Source organism: Homo sapiens, chromosome 1 (genome assembly GCF_000001405.40).
Source record: "Homo sapiens chromosome 1, GRCh38.p14 Primary Assembly".
Classification (NCBI taxonomy): Eukaryota; Metazoa; Chordata; class Mammalia; order Primates; family Hominidae; genus Homo; species Homo sapiens.
This window is the reverse complement of record NC_000001.11, coordinates 112,195,237-112,206,915: the sequence shown is the minus strand read 5'-3', so window position 1 is coordinate 112,206,915 and position 11,679 is coordinate 112,195,237. Positions and strand designations below refer to the sequence as shown.

The 11,679-nt window shown below is 40.9% G+C and overlaps 1 pseudogene; it reads right to left on the bottom strand.

Moving 5' to 3' along the window:
* Nucleotides 1-11,309: 11,309 nt before the first annotated feature.
* Nucleotides 11,310-11,422, bottom strand: LOC124904845 (uncharacterized; annotated as a pseudogene).
* Between the last annotated feature and the right edge of the window lie 257 nt (nucleotides 11,423-11,679).

The window sequence follows — 11,679 nt, the reverse complement described above, 5'->3', positions numbered from 1 at the left end:
TCTCTTCTCTGGCACTCTAGCCTGCTAGATATGTTTTGATCTATCTGGACTCTCAGCTTTATCTTCTCACCTGAAGTCCTTTGGGTTCTGTCTCGGTGTCCTCTCCCTGTGCCATGCCCTGGCATCTCTCTCAGTGCAGTAAGCTTGGGCAGGTGTAAGTTTCATCTTATTTGTTTTCTATCTCTCAGGGATCATTGTACTTTGTTACCTGATGTGCAGGGTTCTGGCTTTTTTTTTTCTCATATAGTTTGTTGGTTTTTTGGTTGTTTCTGGCATGAGGGTAAATCCAGTCCCTGTTACTCCATCTTGGTTGGAAGCAGAAATCTACCAGCTTTACTATGCTTGGTATTAGCAAAGTGTATCTTTTTCACCATTTTCCTTCTTTCTTCTTTCTTTCTTTCTTTCTTCTTTCTTTCTTTCTTTCTTTCTTTCTTTCTTTCTTTCTTTCTTTCTTTCTCCCTTCCCTTCCCTTCCTTTTCTTTCTTTCTTTCTTGAGACAGAGTTTCGCTCCTGTTGCTCAGTCTGGAGTGCAATGATGCGATCTTGGCTCACTGCAACCTCTGCCTCCCAGGTTCAAGCAATTCTCCTGCCTCAGCCTCCTGAGTAGCTGGGATTACAGGCATGGGCCACCATGCCCAGCTAATTTTGTATTTTTAGTAGAGATAGGATTTCTCCATGTTGGTCAGGCTGGTCTTGAATTCCCAACCTCAGGTAATCCACCTGTCTTGGCCTCCCAAAGTGCTGGGATTACAGGCATGGGCCGCCGTGCCTGGCCTTTTCCTTCCATCTTTCAGTGTCCTTATATTTAGTTAGATTTTGTTTCTTCATCTAGTCTGTGTTTATATTTCTCTTTTAACTAAGCAATTTAGTTTATTTATGCTTAATGTTATTACAAATATATTTCATTCCAAATTTACCACTTGTTTTGTGCTTTCTGTTCTCTCTGATATTCTGTTTTTCCTTTTATCTTCTTTTTTATTTTCTTTTGGATTGGGTTTTTAAAATCTTTGCATTTTTATCCTCTACTAGTTTAGATGTTACACATTCTATTTCTATTATTTGAGTGGTTACCTTTAAAATTATAACATGTGATCTTAATTTGTCAAAATCTAAGGTTGGTAAGTTTTTTATTCTTAAACCACCTGACTCAGCCTCCCAAAGTGTTGGGATTACAGGCATTATCCACCATGCCTAGTCTTTCACTGAGTGTTTAAGGGTCTCCGATTTATGCAGGGGCCTTAGATTAACTTCTTACTTTTTATAAGCCAAGGGCCCTTTTTTTTTCCCTTTTCTCCAGGAAAATGCTGATTGAAAAAGGTAACTTCAGTTTGCCAGTGATGAGCAGGTGTCCTCAGGGCAACTGGCTGCTCAGCACTCACACCTCTCTGGGTAGGTGTTTTATGTCTTTCTGATTTTTGAGGACTTTCCTTATTGTCATGTCACCTCTGCTATGCATTATTCACTTAAAAACATATTTGAGGCTGGGCATGGTGGCTTACACCTGTAATGTCAGCATTTTGAGAGGCCAAGTGGGGAGGATTTCTTGAGTTCAGGAGTTGGAGACAGTGAGACCTCATTTCTGAAAAAAAAAAAAAAAAAAAAAAAAAAAAAAGGGGGATGGAGCCAAGATGGCCGAATAGGAACAGCTCCTGTCTACAGCTCCCAGCATGAGCGATGCAGAAGATGGGTGACTTCTGCATTTCCATCTGAGGTACCGAGTTCATCTCACTAGGGAGTGCCAGACAGTGGGTGCAGGACAGTGGGTGCAGCCCACCATGCACCAGCCGAAGCAGGGTGAGGCATTGCCTCACTCGGGAAGTGCAAGGGGTCAGGGAGTTCCCTCTCCTAGTCAAAGAAAGGGGTGACAGACGGCACCTGGAAAATCGGATCACTCCCACCCTAAAACTGTGCTTTTTGGATGGGCTTAAAAAATGGCACACCAGGAGATTATATCCTGCACCTGGCTCGGAGGGTCCTATGCCCATGGAGTCTCGCTGATTGCTAGCACGGCAGTCTGAGATCAAACTGCAAGGCGCAACAAGGCTGGGGGAGGGGCGCCCACCATTGCCCAGGCTTGCTTAGGTAAACAAAGCAGCCGGGAAGCTCGAACTGGGTGGAGCCCACCACAGCTCAAGGAGGCCTGCCTGCCTCTATAGGCTCCACCTCTGGGGGCAGGGCACAGACAAACAAAAAGACAGCAGTAACCTCTGCAGACTTAAATGTCCCTGTCTGACAGCTTTGAAGAGAGCAGTGGTTCTCCCAGCACGCAGCTGGAGATCTGAGAATGGGCAGACTGCCTCCTCAAGTGGGTCCCTGACCCCTGACCCCTGAGCAGCCTAACTGGGAGGCACCCCCCAGTAGGGGCAGACTGACACCTCACATGGCCAGGTACTCCTCTGAGACAAAACTTCCAGAGGAATGATCAGACAACAGCATTTGCGGTTCACGAAAATCCACTGTTCTGCAGCCACCGCTGCTGGTACCCAGGCAAACAGGGTCTGGAGTGGACCTCTAGCAAACTCCAACAGACCTGCAGCTGAGGGTCCTGTCTGTTAGAAGGAAAACTAACAAACAGAAAGGACATCCACACCAAAAAGCCATCTGTATATCACCATCATCAAAGACCAAAAGTAGATAAAACCACAAAGATGGGGAAAAAACAGAGCGGAAAAACTGGAAACTCTAAAAAGCAGAGTGCCTCTCTTCCTCCAAAGGAATGCAGTTCCTCACGAGCAATGGAACAAAGCTGGACGGAGAATGACTTTGATGAGTTGAGAGAAGAAGGCTTCAGATGATCAAACTACTCCGAGCTACAGGAGGAAATTCAAACCAAAGGCAAAGAAGTTGAAAACTTTGAAAAAAATTTAGACGAATGTATAACTAGAATAACCAATACAGAGAAGTGCTTAAAGGAGCTGATGGAGCTGAAAGCCAAGGCTCGAGAACTACGTGAAGAATGCAGAAGCCTCAGGAGCCGATGCAATCAACTGGAAGAAAGGGTATCAGCGATGGAAGATGAAATGAATGAAATGAAGTGAGAAGGGAAGTTTAGAGAAAAAAGAATAAAAAGAAATGAGCAAAGCCTCCAAGAAATATGGGACTATGTGAAAAGACCAAATCTACATCTGATTGGTGTACCTGAAAGTGATGGGGAGAATGGAACCAAGTTGGAAAACACTCTGCAGGATATTATCCAGGAGAACTTCCCCAATAAAGCAAGGCAGGCCAACGTTCAGATTCAGGAAATACAGAGAATGCCACAAAGATACTCCTCGAGAAGAGCAACTCCAAGACATATAATTGTCAGATTCACCAAAGTTGAAATGAAGGAAAAAATGTTAAGGGCAGCCAGAGAGAAAGGTCGGGTTACCCACAAAGGGAAGCCCATCAGACAAAGAGTGGATATCTCGGCAGAAACTCTACAAGCCAGAAGAGAGTGGGGGCCAATATTCAACATTCTTAAAGAAAAGAATTTTCAACCCAGAATTTCATATCCAGCCAAACTAAGCTTCATAAGTGAAGGAGAAATAAAATACTTTACAGACAACCAAATGCCAAGAGATTTTGTCACCACTAGGCCTGCCCTAAAAGAGCACCTGAAGGAAGCACTAAACATGGAAAGGAACAACCGGTACCAGCCACTGCAAAAACATGCCAAATTGTAAAGACCATCAAGGCTAGGAAGAAATTGCATCAACTAATGAGCAAAATAACCAGCTAACATCATAATGACAGGATCAAATTCACACATAACAATATTAACATTAAATGTAAATGGGCTAAATGCTCCAATTAAAAGACACAGACTGGCAAATTGGATAAAGAGTCAACACCCATCAGTGTGCTGTATTCAGGAGACCCATTTCACATGCAGAGACACACATAGGCTCAAAATAAAGGAATGGAGGAAGATCTACCAAGCAAATGGAAAACAAAAAAAGGCAGGGGTTGCAATCCTAGTCTCTGATAACAGACTTTAAACCAACAAAGATCAAAAGAGACAAAGAAGGCCATTACATAATGGTAAAGGGATCAATTCAACAAGAAGAGCTAACTATCCTAAATATATATGCACCCAATACAGGAGCACCCAGATTCATAAAGCAAGTCCTTAGAGACCTACAAAGAGACTTAGACTCCCACACAATAATAATGAGAGACTTTAACACCCCACTGTCAACATTAGACAGATCAACGACACAGAAAGTTAACAAGGATATCCAGGAATTGAACTCAGCTCTGCACCAAGCAGACCTAATAGACATCTGCAGAACTCTCCACCCCAAATCAACAGAATATACATTCTTTTCAGCACCACACCACACCTATTTCAAAACTGACCACATAGTTGGAAGTAAAGCACTCCTCAGCAAATGTAAAAGAACAGAAATTATAACAAACTGTCTCTCAGACCACAGTGCAATCAAACTAGAACTCAGGATAAAGAAACTCACTCAAAACCACTCAACTACATGGAAACTGAACAACCTGCTCCTGAATGACTACTGGGTACATAATGAAACGAAGGCAGAAATAAAGATGTTCTTTGAAACCAATGAGAACAAAGACACAGCATAACAGAATCTCTGGGACACTTTCAAAGCAGTGTGTAGAGGGAAATTTATAGCACTAAATGCCCACAAGAGAAAGCAGGAAAGATCCAAAATTGACACCCTAACATCACAATTAAAAGAACTAGAAAAGCAAGAGCAAACACATTCAAAAGCTAGCAGAAGGCAAGAAATAACTAAAATCAGAGCAGAACTGAAGGAAATAGAGACACAAAAAACCCTTCAAAAAATTAATGAATCCAGGAGCTGATTTTTTGAGAGGATCAACAAAATTGATAGACCTCTAGCAAGACTAATGAAGAAGAAAAGAGAGAAGAATCAAATAGATGCAATAAAAAATGATAAAGGGGATATCACCACTGATCCCACAGAAATACAAACTACCATCAGAGAATACTACAAACACCTCAATGCAAATAAACTACAAAATCTAGAAGAAATGGATAAATTCCTCAACACATACACCCTCCCAAGACTAAACCAGGAAGAAGTTGAATCTCTGAATAGACCAATAACAGGCTCTGAAATTGTGGCAATAATCAATTGCTTACCAACCAAAAAGAGTCCAGGACCAGAAGGATTCACAGCCGAATTCTACCAGAGGTACAAGGGGGAACTGGTACCATTCCTTCTGAAACTATTCCAATCAATAGAAAAAGAGGGAATCCTCCCTAACTCATTTTATGAGGCCGACATCATCCTGATACCAAAGCCTGGCAGAGACACAACCAAAAAAGAGAATTTTAGACCAATATCCTTGATGAACATTGATGCAAAAATCCTCAATAAAATACTGGCAAACTGAATCCAGCAGCACATCAAAAAGCTTATCCACCATGATCAAGTGGGCTTCATCCCTGGGAGGCAAGGCTGGTTCAATATATGCAAATCAATAAATGTAACCCAGCATATAAACAGAACCAAAGACAAAAACCACATGATTATCTCAATAGATGCAGAAAAGGCCTTTGACAAAATTCAACAACTCTTCATGCTAAAAACTCTCAATAAATTAGGTATTGATGGGACATATCTCAAAATAATAAGAGCTATCTATGACAAACCCACAGCCAATATCATACTGAATAGGCAAAAACTGGAAGCATTCCCTTTGAAAACTGGCACAAGACAGGGATGCCCTCTCTCACCACTCCTATTCAACATAGTGTTGGAAGTGCTGGCCGTGGCAATCAGGCAGGAGAAAGAAATAAAGGGTATTCAATTAGGAAAAGAGGAAGTCAAATTGTCCCTGTTTGCAGATGACATGATTGTATATCTAGAAAACCCCATTGTCTCAGCCCAAAATCTCCTTAAGCTGATAAGCAACTTCAGCAAAATCTCAGGATACAAAATCAATGTACAAAAGTCACAAGCATTCTTATACACCAATAACAGAGAAACAGAGAGCCAAATCATGAGTGAACTCCCATTCACAATTGCTTCAAAGAGAATAAAATACTTAGGAATCCAACTTACAAGGGATGTGAAGGACCTCTTCAAGGAGAACTACAAACCACTGCTCAATGAAATAAAAGAGGATACAAACAAATGGAAGAACATTCCATGCTCATGGGTAGGAAGAATCAGTATCATGAAAATGGCCATACTGCCCAAGGTAATTTATAGATTCAATGCCATCCCCATCAAGCTACCAATGACTTTCTTCACAGAATTGGAATAAACTACTTTCAAGTTCATATGGATCCAAAAGAGAGTCCCCATCGCCAAGTCAATCCTAAACCAAAAGAACAAAGCTGGAGGCATCAGGCTGCCTGACTTCAAACTATACTACAATGCTACAGTAACCAAAACAGCATGGTACTGTTACCAAAACAGAGATATAGATCAATGGAACAGAACAGAGCCCTCAGAAATAATGCTGCATATCTACAACTATCTGATCTTTGACAAACTTGAGAAAAACAAGCAATGGGGAAAGGATTCCCTATTTAATAAATGGTGCTGGGAAAACTGGCTAGCCATATGTAGAAAGCTGAAACTGGATCTCTTCCTTACACCTTATACAAAAATTAATTCAAGATGGATTAAAGACTTAAACGTTAGACCTAAAACCATAAAAACCCTAGAAGAAAACCTAGGCATTACCATTCAGGACATAGGCATGGGCAAGGACTTCATGTCTAAAACACCAAAAGCAATGGCAACAAAAGCCAAAATTGACAAATGGGATCTAATTAAACTAAAGAGCTTCTGCACAGCAAAAGAAACTACCATCAGAGTGAACAGGCAACCTACAAAATGGCAGAAAAATTTCACAACCTACTCATCTGACAAAGGGCTAATATCCAGAATCTACAATGAACTCAAACTAATTCACAAGAAAAAAACAAACAACCCCATTGAAAAGTGGGCAAAGGACAAGTACAGACACTTCTCAAAAGAAGACATTTATGCAGCCAAAAAAACACATGAAAAAATGCTCACCATCACTGGCCATCAGAGAAATGCAAATCAAAACCACAATGAGATACCATCTCACACCAGTTAGAATGGCAATCATTAAAAAGTCAGGAAACAACAGGTGCTGGAGAGGATGTGGAGAAATAGGAACATTTTTACACTGTTAGTGGGACTGTAAACTAGTTCAACCCTTGTGGAAGTCAGTGTGGCGTTTCCTCAGGGATCTAGAACTAGAAATACCATTTGACCCAGCCATCCCATTACTGGGTATATACCCAAAGGACTATAAATCATGCTGCTATAAAGACACATGCACACGTATGTTTATTGCGGCATTATTCACAATAGCAAAGACTTGGAACCAACCCAAATGTCCAACAATGATAGACTGGATTAAGAAAATGTGGCACATATACACCATGGAATACTATGCAGCCATAAGAAATGATGAGTTCATGTCCTTTGTAGGGACATGGATGAAATTGGAAGTCATCATTCTCGGTAAACTATCACAAGAACAAAAAACCAAACACCGCATATTCTCACTCATAGGTGGGAAATGAACAACGAGAACACATGGACACAGGAAGGGGAACATCACACCCTGGGGACTGTTGTGGGGTGGGGCGAGGGGGGAGGGATAGCATTAGGAGATATACCTAATGCTAAATGACGAGTTAATGGGTGTATCACACCAGCATGGCACATGTATACATATGTAACTAACCTGAACATTGTGCACATGTACCCTGAAACTTAAAGTATAATAATAATAATAAAAAGCAATTTTGGAGACACTGCAAAATGGAAATCACCCTATAAAGAGTGGGTTGGATTTTAGTTTCTCTATGAAAAAAAAATATCAATTTTAAGTAAAAAAAAAAAAGAAAGAAAGAAAGGCAAATACCACACGTTTTCACTAATAAGTGGGAGCTAAAAAAATGTGTATACATGGATGTAGCATGTGGAATGATGGACAGTGGAGACTCAGAGGGTGGGGGCTGAGGGGATGGGAGGCAGGGTGGAGGATGGGGGGTTACTTGGTGGGTATAGTGTGTGTTGTTCCAGTGATGCCCTGAAGGCCCCGACGTCACCACAATGCAATATATCCATGTAGCAAAATTGCACTTGTACCCCAGGAATATATACAAGTAAATACATAAAAGCTCCAAAAAAAAAAAAAAAGACATTAAATTAAGCTGAGCATGGTGGCATTCATCTAGTCCCAGCTACTCAGGAGGCTGAGGTGGGAGGATAGCATGAGCCCAGGAGTTTGGTTACAGTGAGCTATGATGGCAGCCTAGGCAACAGAGTGAGAGCTCGTCTCCAAGAAAACAAAACAAAACAAAACAAAAGCAAAACAAAGCAAACAAACAAAAAACATACCTGAAAATATTTCACACTACCTTCTTGAGTTCTTTGTACTTTGGTGGTTTTTCAAGATTTCTGGTCTGAAATATGGTCAGGAATTGAAATCAAGGGCTTCCTTTATTTTCTACTCAACTGCTAGCATCTTCCAGAATACTTTTCTATTAACAGCTCTTTGGAAGATTCTGTGCCATGGCAAGCCAGATTTCAGTTTGGTTTAAGAGAGAGCTTTCTGTTAGCATGTCTGGAAGATGGAATGTGCTGAGGAGGTGGTGAGTTCCTGGAGGTTTTAGAGTGCAGACAAGATGATCTTTTTTTGGTAATTTTGGAGAGCAATGTATGCACGATGGATAGAATAATGGAGAGATAAGAAACGTGGATGTTTCTGAAAACCCACAATTCTTTGTTATTGGTGGTTGTCCTAAGGATGAGTACGGTGGTAGAAACACACTAACATTTGCTGAGTACCTATTATATATGTGGCACACATTATATTGGAAACTTACACAAACTTTATAATCTATTCCTTATAACAATCTTATTGTTGTAGGTATTGCTATCCCTAATTTATAGATGATATAAACAAGGTTATGAGAAAATAAATTTCTTAAGGTCACATATTAAGTGACTGAGCCAGAGTTGAAATTTGTCAGTTGGCTTCAAAGCTGAGGTGCTTTCTTTCACACTATGCTGCTGATTGTCCCTGTAATAGGACAGCAGAGACAGATGAGGCTGTCATAACCATCTCCCAGGGGTAGCTGAACAGATTCTTTCCTGCCCTTGCCTTAAGCTCCTCCCTTTTTCTCTGCTTAATTCCCCACCATTCAGATTTTCAATTGCTGTTTGAAAGACAGAAGTATACACAACCTCAAATCAATTTTGGCTAAAAAAGGAGAGCTTCCAAGTACATGCCACTGGAGGACCACCTAATGGCATCAGTTTGATTTTTACTGCAAATGCTTAGGGATAAATGCGGTAGTAAATATACTATGTTGTTTAGCAATTTAAATATTCCCTGCAAGCTCATTAGGTTCTGTCACCTTATGGCTGTTCCTTGTGTGGGAGTGACACTCCCACCCCCATAGCCTGCTGTTCCCAAGACAGGTGTTTCTGGGGTGAGAGCTTGGGGGGATGCTCGTCACACTGAGGGTAGAAGAGTTGGGAGGCAGCTCTTTAAAGGAATTACTGATAGTTTTGGTGTAATAAAGAATCTGACTCCATTTGTGGTGTTTGACTGCTGACAGCTTCCTAGCCCCACCAATCCCTTTTCTCTTTCTACCCTCTCATCTGGGGAGGCTTATGAGAGCCAGGGTGCTTTTTGCTTTCGTATCAGTGGGAAGCTCAAACCATGCAAGCCCAGGCCCTCACCCCAGCCCCACTCCATAATCACCATAAAACTCCAACTCAGTTGTCCCTTGCTACTCTCTCTAAAAACCATTTTTGACCCTACTTGGAAGTCTATCCTGCTTTTCCCAGAGAATCTCATTATATGAAGAATAAACATTTTTACCCTCTTGGCATGTGGGTGTATGGCATCATCAATCTTGACATCTGGAAGCAAATTCTGGGTGAGGAGGGATGGCTCATTCTGCCTCTGTGGGGTAATCACAATACAGTCATGCACCACGTAATGATGGAGATCCTTTCTGGGAAATGCATTGTTAGGCAACTTCATCACTGTGCGAACGTTACAGAGTGCACTTGCACAACCTAGATGGTAGAGCCTACTAGACACCTAGGCTATATGGCAGAGCCTTTTGCTCCTACACTACAAACCTCTACCGCATGTCATTGTACTGAATACTGTAGGCAATTGTAACACAGTGGTAAGTGTATGTGCATCTAAACATAGAAAAGGTGCAGTAAAATATGACATAAAAGACAAAAAATGATATACTTGTATAGGACTCTTACCATGAATGGAGCTTGAGGACTGGAAGTTGCTCTGGGTGAGTCAGTGAGTGAGTGGTGTGTGAACATAAAGGCCTAGGGCAGTACTACACTACTGTACACTACAGTCTACACTACTGTAGACATTATAAACACTATCCACTTAGGCTACACCAAATTTATGAAAAAAAATAAAGTAATCATGCTACAACATTATCATGGTAATGACGTCACTAGAAGATAGAACTTTTTCAGCTCCATTTTAATCTTATGGGACCATGTCACATGGTCTGTCATTGGGACCGTGTCACATGGTCTGTCATTGACCAAAACGTTGTTATGTGGCATATGACAGTGCTGGTAATGGAAAGATTGAGCAAGACGTGACAGATACCTAGGTTTTTGAGTCCCTGGCTGTCTGTGCCAGACATTGACAACTCTGAAGTGTTCCTGAAAGCAGTGTGTGCAGAGGGCAAGGTCAGGCAAATGCTCCAGTGTTATCACTGTGAGGCTGTGGCACTACATCTCACAGGCTCTTCTTGTATGCCATATGGATGACTCCTTTTGCCTGGTGGAAGGCAGCTCAGAACCAAGAACAGAGAGAAGTTGAGTCTCTGAGCCTCATCCTACCTAAGTCTGTACCCAAGTATCATGGCTAATGAAATTGGAGAAAGTTAATTTTAGAATAGTTCTATTTCTTCTTTTCCAGTCTGGGTGCTATTTATTTCTTTAGCCGAATTGCACGTGGCTAGTATGTCCAGTACTCTGTTGACTAGGAGTAGGGAGAGAAAACATCTTTTCTTTGCTTCTGATCTTAGGATAAAAAACTTAGCTTTTCATCATTTATTATTATGCTAGCTGTAGGTTTCCCATGCATGACCTTTACCAGGTTGAGAAAGTTCCCTTCTAAGTTCACTGAGAGTTTTTATCATAAATGTGTGTTTTGAATTTTGGCAAATGATTTTTGTGTAACTATTGAGATGATCATATGATTTTCCTTTTAGAATGTTAATATGGCCACTACACTGATTTTTTTTTTAATTTTCTTTTTCTCCCCCATGTCAAATGGGTAAAGTGCCAATGTAACAAAGTTCAAGGGAGGCACATCTCACACATGAGTGTGAAAACCTAATCACCACGCCTTGATACATTTTTTTAAATGTTAAACTGATCTTGCATTCTGGAGATAAACTCCACTTGGTCATGATGTATTAGCTTTTTTATATATTGCTGGATTCAATTTGCTTAAATTTTGTTAAGGATTTTTGCTTCTATGTTCATGGTGGAAATTAGTTTGTAGGTGAGTTTTCTTAGAATAACCACCTGGTTTTGGGATCAAGATAATGCTTAAGTAATAGAATGAATTCAGGGTGCTCCCTCAAATTTTATTTTTGGAAGAGTTTATGTAGAATAAATATTACATATTTCT